At 38.6% G+C, this 17,612-nt stretch overlaps 1 protein-coding gene and 1 non-coding gene across 10 annotated transcripts in view; one reads left to right on the top strand and one right to left on the bottom strand.

The window, feature by feature from the left end:
• TTC28 (tetratricopeptide repeat domain 28) overlaps positions 1 to 17,612 on the top strand; it is a 701,827-nt gene that overhangs the window by 212,172 nt on the left and 472,043 nt on the right. The window lies entirely within an intron of this gene.
• MIR5739 (microRNA 5739) lies at positions 7,721 to 7,800 on the bottom strand. Its single transcript, NR_106713.1, has one exon. It is a non-coding gene; the product is annotated as a microRNA 5739 (primary transcript).

Raw genomic sequence — 17,612 nt, 5'->3', positions numbered from 1 at the left:
GTCATGTACAATTCCTAATATTACAATTCCATAGTGAAGACTAATTGAGAATCTGTCAATTGCTAGCACTTGAGATAGAAGAAAATGACCATATTTAACAATATATTGTTAGTCTAGAAACAAATTGCTACTACAGCTGCCTCACTGAATAGGCTCACATGATGTGTCTGGTTGGAGGTAGATGCCAACAAATCAATAAATATAGAATTATTGTAATAATTAGAAATCAGTATATGTATTTTTTTGAGACAGGGTCTCATTTTGTCACCTAGGCTGGAGTGCAGTGGTGCAATCACAGCTCACAGCAACCCTGACCTCCTGGGCCCAAGTGATCCTCCCACCTCAGCCTCCTGAATAGCTGGGACCACAGATGTGCACCACCAACCCTGGCTAATTTTTATTGTTTTGTTTGTAGAGACAGGGTCTCACTATGTTGCCCAGGCTGGGCTCAAATTCCTGGGCTCAAGTGAGTCTCCTGCCTGGGTCTCCCAAAGTGTTGGGATTACAGATGTGAGCCACCATGCCTGGTAAGTTTTAAAATTTAACAAATGAAAGCATTCGTTTAGAATTTGATTACATTTTCAAGAATTCCAGTTATTAGTGTGGATTATTCTTTAGTAGATGGAACATGATTTATATTAACAAAGTATATGACTCCATTTTTGGATGGGGGTTCTAATTCTTCACAAATAGAATAGAATGCCCACTTAAAAAATTATCTTCTTAATGTGTTCTAAATTAAAGTGACAGTTGCCTCCTCATATCCTCCTAATGTATTACTTAGCAAGGTCACAACAGATACTGGCATAGGGGTGTGTGTGTGTGTGTGTGTGTGTGTGTGTGTGTGTATGTATGTATATAATGTGAGAATACTGATTATGGGAAGTGGAGAAAAATAAGGGGGCTTATGCTAGAAAAGTAGTGAAGGGTGAAGGGTGGGTATTGCCCAAGCCTGGGCACCCATAAAGTACATAAGACGCGGGTGTTGACCCACGAGTATATGTGAGTGCTAGTCTCTAAAACCATCTGGCTTAATGCATTTATATGAGCAAATTAGAGATGTAAATGTGGCCATGCAGGATTAATCACACACTGTGCTGCTCTTTGCTAGTCTTAGTGCCAAGTCACATTTCGCATTCTTGGTACTCTGTGTGATTTCTTTAGATTTATTACTTTGGTTTGGCATACCATATCTTATATAGTATTAATGCTAGGTAATAGAAATTTTTGCTGTCTGTACCTGCAATATAGAGGAAGGATCTCAAGGGGAAAGAGGAAACAGAGAGCATCAACTCAGCATTGTTTTATTCAACTGCTACCTAAAATTCTTAGTAAATTTACTGCTGCCTCTATGTTGAGAATTTCTTGGCATTCCCAGGATGATCCTGTATTTTCTGGCATTTCTCTAGTGGATGCTCTTCATGCGAAGTATTGGGAGACTTTTGTGAGAAAAATGTAAATTGACTTGCCTGAGGTAACAAGTTAAGTCCTGGGGCTCAGAAACAATAAAATGTGATAATCACTGTGGCAGAAATTGCTAGCTGTTCCCCCAATAATCACTTCCGTTTCTTCCTTAGCAATAAACTCTGTAGTTATTAACTAGACCTTTGGCCACACAGAATAAAGGCTACATTTTCCAACTTTACAGCTAGTATAGAGGAATAAAATGAAATTCTGGTCAGTGGGATATAAGCAGAAGTATCAAGTGCAATTTCTTGGACATATCTTTATAGGGAAGAATGTGCCTTTCTTCCTTTCTCTTTCCTCCTGGTTGGAATATGGATATGACAGCTGGTACTTAAGCAGCTATCTTGGACTGTAATTGAAAGTTATATGTCGAAGATGGGGCAGGAGAATAGGGGAACAGGTCTTTGATGATAGTTGAGATAGCATATCAACCTTTGATTCCTGATGTCTGGTCTTTGTTAATATCAGAGAAAATTAAACGTCTCCCTTATGTTAAGCCACTATTACTTTGAATTATTTAGGACCTAAATCTAACTATGATTAATATAATCAGGATAAGGCATAATTTTTTTTTTTTGAGACGGAGTTTCGCTCTTGTTGCCCACGCTGGAGTGCAGTGGCACCATCTAGGCTCACTGCAACTTCCACTCCCTAGGTTCAAGCGATTCTCCTGCTTCAGCCTCGTGAGTAGCTGGGATTACAGGCACACACCACCACGCCGGCCTAATTTTTGTATTTTTAGTAGAAACGGGGTTTCACCTTGTTGGTCAGGCTGGTTTCGAACTCCTAACCTTGTGATCCGCCTGCCTCGGCCTCCCAAAGTGCTAGGATTACAGGAGTGAGCCACGGTGCCCGGCCCAGGATAAGGCATAATTTTGTGCCTCCTATAAAGTTGGGAAATTGACTGTTTCTGGAATTCAGATTTTTTAAAAATTAAAATTGAACTTCTGGTTCTCTTCTCCTTATCTAGGTCTAACTTATTGTACTCTGGCTGTTTGCCTATATGCAGAATTTATCCTGATTGTGTTTTAGGAAGCTAGCTGAAGAAAATATTTTTCTACCAAATGAGACAAACCAGTTTGTAAACCTAAGTTAGTAACCAGAAAATGTAAATCTATGATGTTTTATAGTTCTGCTTGTTATATATGATCACTGGACACACAGAGGTACAGAAATCCAGTAAGAAAGTGAAGTTTTGGGGGAGTCTATAAAAATGGAAAGCATCTGGTGTGAAGTCTGTAAAAGACCACAATATCAGGTCATTTCAAGTTCTTTCGTGAGTTGAAATCTGGCTTAATATAAATGGCTTTCAAGGAGTATTGCTTCCTTCTGTTCTGGAAGAGGACATTAAAGCAGTGAAGAATGCTGCAGTTCAGTTAGATAGATGTAAAAATTCTGGGAGCATTAACAGTGGGGTAAGTATCATCTTTTCCAGTATTGAAAATGAAGTGATAACAGAGGGAAAAACTTAAGAGATAGTAGAAAAAGTAGAGATAAAATACAAGTCCTGATACTGAGCGAGAAAGAGGATATTTCATTTTAAGTTCTGTTCTAAAGAAGATTCAGCTCTTAAGATTTTTTTTCCTTCCAAAGTGAGGAAGTGAAGACAGATAGAATTTTATCACCACTTAATTTAGTCTTTTTCATAGATAGAAAAAACCTTTCCTAAAGAAAATTGAAAAATAAAAATCAAGAAATCATAAAAGATATGCAGGTAATCAGGAAAATGAAGCTACTGATACAGTAAATATGCATATGCTTCCTCACTAGTCTTATGGGGATATAAATACATGACTTAATTTTCCTACAAACACTTCCTTCAACCATGCTTTGCCAAGTCCCTGTTTCTGGGAAGATTCCAGATTCCATAACTGTCTGCATACTTTTGGTATTAAAAATTAATTCTGGTTAAATTTAAAACTCCAGTATCACATCCAGTTCAAAGTCCTTCTTTCCCTTTTCTCCAGAGACAGTGGCCCAGACTTCATTAGGAGGGAACTTTTTTGTAAACGTCTCCTCCCCATCTCTTCTGGGTCTCTAGCTCTTCCAATGTGTTAGTATGTGAAGGAAGATGATGGAAAGGGTTAAATGTCTCTTACCTTACTGGTGCTGTTGTAATTTACTCACTGTTGGTCGTTGCAGTTTTTAAGGGTTGACATTGGCAGGTATCCAAATGATAGTTCTCTCGTGAGATCATGTATATTAATTTTTTGGAGGACCCTTTAAGGTGGCTTCCCATTGCAATTTCTTTTATTTTAATTTTTATTTTTTTAAATATATATATAGTTTTAATTATACTTTAAGTTCTAGGGTACATGTGCACAACGTGCAGGTTTGTTACATATGTATACATGTGCCATGTTGGTGTGCTGCACCCATTAACTTGTCATTTACATTAGGTATATCTCCCAATGCTATCCCTCCCCCTCCCCCTACCCCACAACAGGCCCCGGTGTGTGATGTTCCCCTTCCTGTGTCCAAGTGTCCTCATTGTTCAATACCCACCTATGAGTGAGAACATGTGTTGTCTGGTTTTTTGTCCTTGCCATAGTTTGCTGAGAATGATGGTTTCCAGCTTCATCCATGTCCCTACAAAGGACATGACTCATCCTTTTTTATGGCTGCATAGTATTCCATGGTGTATATATGCCACATTTTCTTAATCCAGTCTATCATTGTTGGGCATTTGGATTGGTTCCAAGTCTTTGCTATTGTGAGTAGTGCTGCAATAAACACATGTGTGCATGTGCCATTATAGTAGCATGATTTATAATCCTTTGGGTATATACCCAGTAATGCAATGGCTGGGTCAAATGGTATTTCTAGCTCTAGATACCTGAGGAATCGCCACACTGTCTTCCACAGTGGTTGAACTAGTTTACAGTCCCACCAATGGAAAAAACTACTTTAAAATTCATATGGAACCAAAAAAGAGCCTGCATTGCCAAGTCAATCCTAAGCCAAAAGAACAAAGCTGGAGGCATCACGCTACCATTGCAATTTCTTAATGTGAGATAGTAAGTTCCAGCTCTGTTTCTTTCAACTTCTTTCAGCATCCGCATCAAGTGGCACAGCCAAAAGCCTCCTTCTGTGGAATCCCCTTGCCTTCTGGCAGTCATCTTGGGTAGGATACCAGGAAGATGTCCCAAGCCATCTGTGGTGCCTAAGTTTTGGAAATTTGCATATCTTTGCTGTATCAAATTATGGGCATTTAAGCTATTGTACTGTTGTCCCTCTTTCTGCCAGTTCTCTCAAGTTATAATGGCAGATCAAATATTCATTGCCTAATCTAGTATTTCTCAAAGCCTGGTCTCTAGACTGGAATATTAGTATCACCTGGAAATTTGTTAGACATGTAAAATTTTTGGGCCCAGTGGGACCTAATGATCTGTGTTCTAATAAGCCATCTAGGTGATTCTGTTGCATGCTAAAATTTGAGAACAGCTGGTCTCATAATTCAAATGGGGAATGAGATGCCAATCTTCTCTTACTACAGGTATTCTCAATTTTTATTACTAATTTTCTTGGAAGCCCCTAGTCCCACTTTGACTTGAGGTAAGGAAAGCCATAGAACTTCCTAAGTAACTTCTTGAAATTTCTTAGGTTGCAGTTGTTGTCATTATTATTATTGTATAGGTTGGAAAGGTGGGGATGGGGAAAGCAGCAACAGGATGAAAGTTATTTGCTCACATTATTCTGGGTAACAATCCCCAAATCTCAATGAACAAAGGTTTAGTTCTCACTCACATTACTTATTCACATTGACTGTAGGTCAATTGTAGGCCTGTTCCACAACTTCTTTCTTTTAGGACCTAGACTGGGCTCACCCTTATCTGAGAGATCCCAGCCTCATGACAGAGAGAAAAGAAGCATGATGGAACCACATTATGGCTCTTAAAATTCTGTTCAGATGTGGCATATAACACTTGTACTCACATTCTATTGGCTAAAGCTAGTCACATGGCCAAGCCTGACATCACTGGAGCAGGAAGTATACTCACCTCAAAGGGAGGTTAAATGGGCTAGATACAGAGAAGCAGTGAATATTTTGAACAAATAATATGAGCTATCACAGTCACATAATAAATTGTAGCTATTATTGTTAAAATATAGTTGCTACCTTAAAAAGATAATAGGAGAGGAAATTCTAACAAATACGAAACAATCAGAGAATAGCTAGTACCAGACTATATATACTAAAATTATGACATGGGTTTAGAGAAGAGAAGATTCTGAGACAAGCTGGTTGGTGAATGATGGGTGTAACTGGGACGGAAGGACCTGAGAAGGGAAGGAATTCCAGAATAGAGCAACAGACTAAGTTATGACCTGGGTGGGGGTTAGCATGACTGGTGGGAAAGACAGAGAAGAGAGCACAATGTATGGAGTAAGGTGGCCTTATTTTGAAGTCAAGGAGGACAGGATTGGTGAGAGAGGATAGGCCAGATCATGGAGGAACAAAAAACTTAGGAAGGCCTAGCACAGTGGCTCATGCCTGTAATCCCAGCACTTTGGGAGGCCAAGGTGGGCAGATTACTTGAGGTCAGGAGTTCGAGACGAGCCTGGCCAACATGGTGAAACTCTGCCTCTATTAAGAATTAGCTGGGCCTGGTGGTAGGTGTCCGTAATCCCAGCTACTTGGGAGGCTGAGGCAGGAGAATTGCCTGAACCCAGGAGGCAGATGCTACAGTGAGCCAAGATCACACCACTATACTCCAGCCTGGGCGGCAGAGTGAGACTTCGTCTCAAAAGAAAAAAAAAAAACTGAAGAAAGAATTGTGGGTTTGATATTGTATGTGGTAGGGTGTTACGTTGGTCAGTTTTTAAGGATAGTCTACAAGACCATACGGTCTAATGGAAAGAGAGAGCTAGACTGAGAGGTATAATGGCATTTCTGTCACTTATTAGGTATTTATCTTTGGGTAGGTCAATAGTTATTCATTCAACAAGTATTTAGTATTACTATGTACCATTGCACACACTGGGAATATAAAGATGAAACAATAGACATTCTGCCTTTAACAAAGTTTTAGAAAAATAGAAGGTAACTATATAGAAAATGAAATAATGACCATAAGCAAGAAGGCCACAATGAGGAACAAGCATGGGCATATGCCAGATATTTTTTCAGAGGCAGACCGTAGATAAACAGATCCTACTAGTGGGTCAATTAAGTTATTGTATTTTGTAGATTATACAGCTACTTAAAATCATAGGAGGCCAGGTATGGTGGCTTATGCCTGTAATCTCAGCATTTTGATAAGCCAAGGTCGGAGGAGAGTATGAGCCCAGGAGTTTGAGACCAGCCTGGGCAACATGGCGAAACCCGTCTCTACAAAAAAACTTACAAATTAGTCAGGTGTGGTGATGCACACCTGTGGTCCCAGCCACTCAGGAGGCTGAGGCAGGAGTATTGCTTGAGCCCAGGAAGTCAAGGCTGTAGGGAGCCCTGTTTGCACCACTGCACTGCAGCCTGGGTGACAAAGTGAGACCCCATCTCAATCTGCCTGCCTGCCTATCTATCTGTCTGTCTGTCTATCTATCTATCTATCTATCTATCTATCTATCTATCTATCTATCTATCTATCTATCTACCATTAATCATCTATCCATCTATTATATGTATGTACATACATACATACATACATATATATATATACATATTAGATAGCTCCTGAGATGTCCTAGATATTCTTTTGGGCAGAAAAGCAAGTTGCAGGTCTGTACATAAAGTATTATCTCATGTGAGTTGGAAAAAAATGTATATGCATAGAAAAGTTTAGGGAGTGTATGAAAAAGAGGAGTAGGACTGGTGGTGATGGGAAGAACGACTTTTAATTTTTATTTTATATCCTTCTATCTCCTTGCATTTTTACCACAATATATTTTAACTTTGTAATTACAAAACTAGTTAAACAAAAAAAGCATCCCACCACAATCAACCTTTACCCACGACTTTATCTCTGGACTCAAAACATCCTGATATTAAAATCTTCATGTTAAGATACTTTGAGTCTGACCTGGCTTCTTTTGCTTATTCAACTTTTGTTCTGATAATCCTAGTTGTATCTCCTAGATAAAACTAGATAGACAAATAGCTGTTCTGTCGACTCTGAGTTTCACTTCTATTATTTTTTTTCCCGAAAATTTTATATTGTGGTAAAATACACGTAAAATAAAATTTACCATCTTAACTATTTTTAAGTGTATACGTATTTGTTTTTATTTAGCACTTTCTCAGTGAATATGTTTCCCTGGCTCCCCATTCTCTCTCCGCAGGACAGCCAACATTTCCTAAAAGCACAACCTTGGAAATGATAGTTATAGCCAACCCTGGAGTGTTTGAGACCAGAGGACAGTCCAGAATAGGAGACAAGGCACATACCAAAGATCAGAGCCAGATATTAGGTCAGCTGTCAAGGTGTTCTTGAAGGCAAGAGCCAGGCATTGACTCCGATTTCTGGGTAGTCAGAGACAAGGAATAAAAAAAACTTGGGTAAGGACTCAGCCCAGAAGACTGAGGACAAAGGCAAGATAGCTGCATTGTTAATGTGGAGTGACAGTAGTAACAAGAAAGAAAGCAGACTGCTGATATATGCTTTCTGCGAAAATTAAGAACTGGTCTTGGGATGTGGGTGGCTTTGACCTGAAGGAGGGGGGTCGGTGGCACTTTGATTCTGTTTTGAAGGGTTGAAGACCAAGGCAGTTTCTGCCTGCTTCTATGCACCTTCCTCAGGCCTTCTTTTTCTTTCTTTAATTTTTTTTTTCTTTGAAACCGGGTCTCACTCTGTCACCCAGGCTGGAGTGCAGTCGTGCCATCTTGGCTCACAGTAACTTCTGCCTCTGGGGATCAAGTGATCCTCCCACTTCAGCATCCTGAGTATCTGGAACCACAGGTGTGCACCACCATGCCTGGGTAATTTTTTGTATTTTGTTGGGTAGAGACTGGGTTTCACCATGTTTCCCAGGCTGGTCTCGAACTCCTGAGCTCAAGCGATCCACCTGCCTCAGCCTCCCAAAGTGCTGGGATTACAGGCATGAGCCACTATGCCTGGCCCAGGCTTTCTTTTAGAAAAAAAGGAGATTAGGATCTTTGGAGTAGGAATGAAAAACTCTCAAACTCAAACACTTAATACTACCATTACCCCTCTGTCAACACACACACGTCCACACACCCACCCCTGCAGCTAGGAGACATTTTGGGCTCTGGATGTTATGTTCAATAATCTTTTATTGGGATGCATGATGCATTCATGATCTGATAAAACTAGAGCACATTGATATTGGTATTATTATTTTGGTAAATTTTTTTTTTTTTTTTGAGATGGAGTCTCGCTCTGTCACCCAGGCTGGAGTGCAGTGACATGATCTTGGCTCACTGAAAGCTCTGCCTCCCGGGTTCAAGCCATTCTCCTGTCTCAGCCTCCCGAGTAGCTGGGACTACAGGCGCCCGCCACCACGCCCGGCTAATTTTTTGTATTTTTAGTAGAGATGGGGTTTCACCGTGTTAGCCAGGATGGTCTCAATCTCCTGACCTCGTGATCCACCCACCTCGGCCTCCCAAAGTGCTGGGATTACAGGCGTGAGCCACCATGCCCAGCCTATTTTGGTAAATATTTTTATATTACCTTTCAGAAACCAATTTTAAAAAAGATTAGGCCTCATATTCAGGAACATATCTTAGATGTTTTTGTCTTTACCACATTCTGATTTGTTTAAGAACTTTAATTCAGGAGAGATTATCTAGGAAGTTGTTGAAAAGTAGGCTTAGATACATTTGGGATTTTTCAAATTGACCCATTTCAGAGTGGTTTGTAGATATAAATTTGAAATGAAGTACATACTACCTTCAAGGTAAAATATACTTTCTTAAGTTTTGAACTTCTGTTTGGATGAATTTATTACTTTATCTGTTTTATTTTATTTTTGTATCTGTAGAAATCCTCAGATGTTGCTCTCATATTCATTTAAATGTATTGTGTTATTATTTTGGATTGTACTCTAAGCTTTTTGAAGTCAAACTTTAAAACAGATTTTCATATCAAATTAAGGTAAAAACACAGCAAACATATTTTATACCTAGTAAATCCAAATAAGTTGACTGAGATTTTAGAAAAAATAAGAGTTCCATAAAATAAGCAGCATTTCACTTAGCGTTCTAAGTTAGAAAATAAAATGGAAAAAAGATACACATTTATAATATGCAAAAATTACTTAAAAATAATTAAATAAAGACCACGTATAATTTTAGATAATGAAAATGGCAAAACTTCATTTAGAGTTATAAAAGGGAATTGAATAAATGGACATATATTCTGCCCAAGACTATTTCTGGACAATACGATGTTAATTAGAATATCAAATCACATTTTTCTTGGAAGTTGACATGATTAATTTGAAATTTATGTGGCAGAATGAATAGATAAAAATATGAAAGATTATTTTGAAAAAATAAAGCTAATGATAGAGGGGATTAATCCTACCACACAATAAAGGATAATTTTAAAAACCAATAATTAAAACAGTATGGTACTATTTGATTTGATTATTATGTGAGACTTTAAATTTCATATACATAAAAATAACTATGATAAGCTAGAAATTGCTATATAAACAACATGGGTTTGGGATTTTCAGATACAGTCTAAAAGTTGTGACTGTTACTTGTCGATGAGCTATGACCGTGCTTCATAAAGCAGAGGTTTTCTTTTTAGGTTTCTTGTAGGTTGGAACGGATTTTAACACATAGGATTGTCATTGTATTTTAAGATTAGACTTTAAAAATTTTATCTTTGTAGTGGTGGTGCTAAAATCGTTGAGGATTATATGAAACAACCTTTGCACCTACTTTTTTGGCCTGGGTTGAGGATATTGAGAAAAGGGTTATGCACTGGTTGTTGATGTTTTTTAAACAGTTCATGGTCATAGCTGAGATATATTAGGTTAGTGTAATACATACTGTTATTAAGAAAAAGATTAGTTTCATCTTACTCGGCCTAATTAGCTTTGTTCCATTTCATTGGCTCAAATGTATCCAAACAAGACACTGCAAGGGCCGTGGTGTTCTGAATAGAGTGCTGTGAGATACTGACATATTTTATTTTGTCTTACAAATGAGCTACAGACAATGATAATTATAGAAATGTATTCTGTGGTCTTACTTATAATAAATTCATAGCATCAGTACATGCCCATAAATAAAATAAACCATTCAACTAAGACTGTTTTCTCAACTTTTTATGCCGACATTAGTTTGCTAGTTGTTTATTTTTGTTGTCTAGTATGGAAGACAAGTGGTAGCTCGTGACACATATTTTAAAAATTTATGGGCCGGGTGCGGTGGCACATGCCTGTAATCCCAGCACTTTGTGAGGCCGAGGTGGGCGGATCACGAGGTCAAGAGATTGAGACCATCCTGGCCAACATCGTGAAACCCCGTCTCTACTAAAAATACAAAAATTAGCTGGGCATGGTGGCATGCGCCTGTAATCCCAGCTACTCAGGAGGCTGAGGCAGGAGAATCGCTTGAATCCTGGGGGTGGAGGTTGCAGTGAGCCGAGATCATGCCACTGCACTCCAAACCGGAGTCAGAGTGAGACTTCGTCTCAAAGAAAAAAAAAATTATGAGAGAAAAAGTTTTAAGTAGACAGAATTATACATTAACCTTTTTTGGGGGAGGAATTGGGGAAAGCTGACCACATACACCCTTTTGAATGAAGAAGGATAATAATTAAGAATAATATTTGTATATTTTAGTTACAATTCACTTTTTTTGTATTTTTACAAAATTATGCAACCATCACCATTATCTAATTCTAGAACATCTGCATCTCCCCCCAAAAGAAGCCTCTTATCCATTAACAGTCACTCCTCATTGCCTCCATCCCCCAGTGACCACTAATCTACTTTCTGTATTTATGGATTTTCCTATTCTGGACATTTTACATAAATGGGATCGGATTATACATGGCCACATTTTTTTTTTAGTGGCGGAATATCAGAATCCAAATCTAGAAATACCAGCATTTTTTTTTTTTTTTTCTGAGACAGAGTCTCGCACTGTCGCCCAGGCTGGAGTGTAGTGGTGCAATCTCGGCTCACTGCAACCTCCACCTCCCAGGTTCGAGTGATTCTCCTGCCTCAGCCTCCTGAGTAGCTGGGATTACAGGTGCCCACCACCACACCCAGCTAATTTATTGTATTTTTAGTAGAGATGGGGTTTCACTCTGTTGGCCATGCTGGTCTCCAACTCCTGACCTTGTGATCCCCCCACCTCAGCCTCCCAAAGTGCTGGGATTACAGGCATGACCCACAATACTTGGTCCAGCATTCTTTACAAAGCAAATTTTAGCAAAAAGTTAGTTGTATCACTAGATTGAATTCCACATCTTAGAAAGTGGGTGAGATGTAAGTGTAGATATGATGGCAAATTCATCAACCCAATGAAGGGAACATTTCAAGGAAATGCTAATTTTTTTTTTTTTTTTTGGGAAAGAGTCTCACTTTGTCACCCAGGCTTGAGTGCAGTGGTGCAATCTTGTCTCACTGCAGCCTCTGCCTCCTGGGTTCAAGTGATTCTCCTGCCTCAGCCTTCCAAGTAGCTAGGATTACAGACATGCACAGGCCACGCCTGGCCAATTTTTGTATTTTTAGGGAGATGGAATTTCACTATGTTGGCCAGGCTGGTCTTGAACTCCTGACCTCAGGTGATCCACCCACCTCGGCATCCCAAAGTGCTGGGATTACAGACATGAGCCACCACACCTGGCCATGATGCTCTTTTGTTTAGAATCAGTAGTGTTGCAAGAGGGAGGACTGCTTAGGAGAAATGTTAATAAGAAAACCTTTTATTATATTAAATGAAGAAGGAAAATAATTAGAAATAATATCTGTACATTTTATTTAAATCTTTAACTCAATTTCAGTAGTGTTTTGGAAGTGTGATTTTTGCCATTTATGATATGTACCTAACCTCAGCTGCTAACATGGAAAGTTATCTCTTGCACTGTGTTCTATACCCAGAACACTGCCAGTGATTTTGTTAGATGTTATAGGTGGTATGAATATTGTTGTGGGGGTTGGATCTTCTGAATTACCTCCCATGAAATTCAGTTAATAGTTTTCTTATATGTGCACTCAGAACTTAAATGGAAAATTCTTTATACTCTTAATTTCTCTTGCTTAATGTGGTAATCAGAGTGTCCACTCTCTGACCCATTTATATACTTTTGAAATACGAAGAAAAAGCTTTCTCATGTTTTCATATGGGTGGCCAGATAGACAGCACTTTAAAAATTAGCATATGTATGTTTTGACTATCTCACTTAAGGCTGCCTGTCAGTTTGGCAGCTCTGAGCTTGTTATTTCTGTGTCTTCTCTTTTTTCATTTTCATGTTTTGACAAATAAGATTGTACTTTTGACAAGTGATTTGTACTTCATCTAAAAATTTCAAAGTGTGTTAAATTTATTTGTTAAACTATCTAAAGATCATTTTATCTACCCATCTTTGGATTATACAAGATTCTCATCAGTGTAAATGAAGACAGAAAGTGACACTATTGGAGTTCTTGCAATAAAAGACATTATTGGGCAATAATTATTTCCAGAATAATTACTGCTTACTTTTCAGAAACATATTTCTTTCAGTTAAGTATCTTCTGACTTACTCCTGGGTGTAAAACTGTCTTAAGGGGAATGACCTCTTTTTGTATTCCTTGGGAGAGTATATCTTTCAAGAATGAAGGTATTTACAGGCATCCCTTGACAAGTGAATAAATGCCATGCTGAACATTTTATTGCAAAAGGAAATTCTATATATTTAGTTTTATCATATAACCAACATTATATTTATTTGTTTAGTAAATATTTAATGAGTACCTAATATGCTAGGAAATGTTTTAAGGATTGGATAACAAATGCAGATAGCACTACTTAGAGCTTATAAGCTATTGGATGCACAGAGGTTAAATGAGAAATAATGTAATTTCAAATTGTAATAAGTGGCTTGAAGAAGACAAACTAAAGTAATAGGGTATGTAATCATTTGGAGTAGGGGGGCGGGTTAATTTTGGTCAGGGATAGCCTCTCTGGGAACTTGCTATTTGACAAGAAACTTGAATGTGGAAAAGGAAATACCTATCCCTCAGGAAGAATATTCCAGGTAGACATAACTGCAATTAACAAGGTCATAAAGGAAGCATAAGAAGGCAGGTATAGCTGCAGCACAGTTAAGGGAAGGTATGGTAAAAAATGAGGGTGAAAAGTAGAGGCTAGATCATGTATGACCTTGTAGGCCATGTTAAAGCCTTTGGATTTTATATTTTGTGCAAAGGGAAGCCTTAAGCGGGTCTTAAGCAGGGGGAAATGTACAACCCAATTTATAGAAAGATCATTCTGGCTACACTAAGAGACTGGGTCACAAGAGGCAGAGCGGAAGATACTGTAGTAGACCAGATGATGTTGATGGCATCTGTTGCTAAAGAGAAAGGGTAGAGATGATGATAAAGTGGCAAGATTTGGATTAGATTTTGTTGGGAGAGAGCTGAGGACTTGTTAGTGGACTGGATGTTGAGGCCAGGAAAGGAGAGGAATCAAAGGGGACTATAAAGTTTTTGGCCTGAGCTGCTGGATGAATAGAGATGCCATTAACTGATATAAAATAAAATTGAAGAAGGACCAGATTTGTTGGCTGTGTAAGTCTGAGATGTGTGTTAGACATCTTAGAGGAGATGTTGGGTAGGCAGTTACAAGTCTGGAGCTCAGTAGAGAAGTGGGTTTTTGAGGCATAAATATGGGAGTCATGAATTAAGAGATGGTAGTTAGCAGTTTGAGACTGGCTGAGGTCTTTGAGGAATAATTATAGACAGAATAGAGGGCAGAAGACCTGTGGATATGTTCATGCAAGAAAAATTTGTGTTTTAATATAAACAAAATCTAATGTGTCTTGCTAGCCAGTCAGAGTTCTGAGTTACAAGTAACAGAAAGCAACTGTGACTGTTTTTGTTGAAAGGAGACTTTATTGAAAAGATGTTGAGTGGCTCATAGAATCATTAAGGTGGCTGGCAAATCAGGTTTAGATAATGGGCAGAATCCAAGGGAAAACAGGTACCTGGATCTCATCCATAACTGTATACAGGAACTGTTGTACCCTGGCTACCAGAACTTGAGTCATCACTGTTGGAGCTGGATATAGGATACCCCATGAGATCCTCTCGCACTGGTGACCCTAGAAACTGGATGTTGCTGTGGCTACTTCCAGAGCAAGTTCTCTCTGCCACTATTCCTTGTGTCACTTGCTTTACATTCAATGTTCTGGTAAAGAACTGGGGCTAGGTATTGTGTCTTCATCCTAACTCAGATGGTAGGGGAAAGTAATTATCTGAACTTTTTGGTTGCTGTCATGAGATATTCTTTATATTCCACCATGACTCAGATAATCGAGAAGTTCCCCAAAACAGAGTATGGCAATTCCAATGCTAGGCATTTTAACAACTGTAAAAAGTACCTCCCTAACCGCCCCTGTCCCATTCCCCCACAAAATGACTATGGTTATTCTCTCATGCCATGTCCATATTTTAGCTCTGTGAATATAATACACTTGATTGCTTATGAATTCATAAGTGTAGAGTTAAGCAACAAGTTATTAGAGGGCCTCCAGATGCACTTCAAGAATATTTTATCCTTATTGACTTTCTTTTCCTATGATCTGTTTTCTCCTCGAGGATTAAGAAAAGACCCACTTTCCCTATGTCTCTTTCACCATAGCCAGAGAAATACAGCCTCTTTTTTTTTTTTTTTTTTTTTTTTTTTTTGAGATGGAATCTCGCTCTGTTGCCCAGGCTGGAGTGCAGTGGCACAATCTCGGCTCATTGAAACCTCTGCCTCCTGGGTTCAAGCGATTCTCCTGCCTCGGCCTCCTGGGTAGCTGGGACTACAGGTGCATGCCACCATGCCCAGCTAATTTTTTTGTATTTTTAGTAGAGATGGGGTTTCACCATGTTAGCCAGGATGGTCTGGATCTCCTGACCTTGTGATCCGCCCACCTTGGCCTCCCAAAGTGCTGGGATTACAGGCGTGAGCCATCGCGCCTGGCCAGCCTCTTTTGGTTAAAAACACACAAGTCAATAAGCCCCCACTTCAAGCATCTTTCTTTAATGAAATGTACATATTTAAAACACACACACACATACACACATACACACAGTCACTACCACTGAATAATCAGGGTTTCTTTGGGAAAGTTAATAACTTCAAAGCTGTATATTCTGGCCCAAATATGTGACCACTGAATCTATTCCAGATAAGTTTTAATTAAGTATGACATACTGAAATTTCCCCCAATTAATTATATAATAGCAAAATTACACATGCACTATAGCTGTGGCCACCTGGTAGAGAAAAGATTGTAGCCAAAGGTATTACAATCCATTAACCTGATTTATATAAGAAAATTTATAACATAGTCATAGCATTGTTATGATGAAGACTAACTGCCTGCCAAAGAGATAACAAGTAAGTATGGAAAATCCTCACTTAACATTGTTGATAGGTTCATGGAAACTGTGACTTTTAGTGAACTAATGTATAATGAAACAAATTTCTTTTTCTTGTTAACATTATAAAAATGATGTTGAATAAAAGATGTTATTTGAGGACCTGCTGTATGTTGTTCTCCTTAAAGTTGCAGTTCCAAAAACCTATCTATGACATTAAGTGAAGACTTACTGTATTTTCAGGCTAACACCTGTGTTCTTTCATAAGCATCACTGGAAAATGACTGAATGCTGGACATTTTCATTGAGTGCTGGATTTTGTTGTTTTCCTTCAAAGAGTGTTGCACTTTTTAAGGTTGATTTGTAAGCTTTGTTAGAGTGAGTTAAGAGTACACTTTAGTCTGGGCTAGTTTACCCCTTCTGCGAAGACATGACCTTTCTGAGGTCTCTACTGAATGTCCCAGGTATTCAATGATATCCCGTCACTCTGTCTGGTTGACACTTGGAAGTCTTGCAGTCCTGATGAGCTCTGGCAGTTGTTCAGCTTATGGCTCCCACTTTGCCTTGTGGAGTTTCACCATATTTTGGCAACTTAGTGTTCAGCCAAAACTTAAGAGGACTCCTGTGCTGATTTCTGGAGCTCCATGTCTGCGTAGCCCGCTCCAATTCTGTACTCTGAATGTTCTAGCTACTTTATCCTCCTTAAACACTGATCTCTGTTTTCTCAACTCAGCAAGATCCTCGTGCTCTGTTTGGGATCCCTTTCCTGCCCTGTAGTCTGGAAGGTGCCTCCAAGCAGAAAGCCAGAGTGATCATAGGGCTCATGTCATTCGTTTTGCTTATCTTAAGGTTCATAGTACTGTGCTGCCTATTGTCTGAAACATTTGGAAAGCAGTATTTTTCCTTTATTTTATCCAGTTTTTTAGTTATGTTAGGAAAGTAAGCCTAGTCCCAGTTGTTGTGTCGTAGACAGAAACAGAAGTCCCATTAGAAAAATGATTATACCACTGAAACACATGAGCATTATTTCTGGTACTTTGCAGCCCTTATAATTTGTAAAAAGTCTATGGTGTGATGATGAAAGAGGAAAAAAATTCAGAGTTAGCGTAGTAAAACTAGTAGAGTAACAATAACATATAGGATTATCATACGTATGGGATATATTGTGTGTGTGCTTGTGTGCGGATAATTACATATATAATTTAATCTCAAAAATCATAGGTAGGTGTTATTATTATGTCCATGTACAGAGTTAGAAATTGAGGTACAGGAAAATGAAGTAACAAAAGAGCACACAGCTAGTAAGTGGTGGATCTAGGGTTTGAACCAGGCATTATTGGCCAAATAAAAATTGCTGCCTCAGGAAACTGGTTAAGTCTCACATTCCATCTGAGCAGTGAAGTCGGTTGTGTTTAGAAGTATGGTATTGCTCAAGACTCAATTTTATGATCTCTCTTTTTCTCTCCTTTTAAAATTCTTCTTGCTCCAGACTTCATCACTGGAAGAATTTTTTTAACCTAAGGCTTTATATATATATGTCATCATCATCATGTCAATGACCCCCCATCTCTTTATAGCTCTATTTATCCATATCTATATCAATATCTACATCAATATATATCCTTAACTGTAATCATATCTCCACCTACTTA

Source organism: Homo sapiens, chromosome 22, assembly GCF_000001405.40.
Source record: "Homo sapiens chromosome 22, GRCh38.p14 Primary Assembly".
Taxonomy (NCBI): Eukaryota; Metazoa; Chordata; class Mammalia; order Primates; family Hominidae; genus Homo; species Homo sapiens.
The sequence above is the reverse complement of the archived record's forward strand: the minus strand, read 5'-3'. Positions and strand labels throughout refer to the sequence as shown.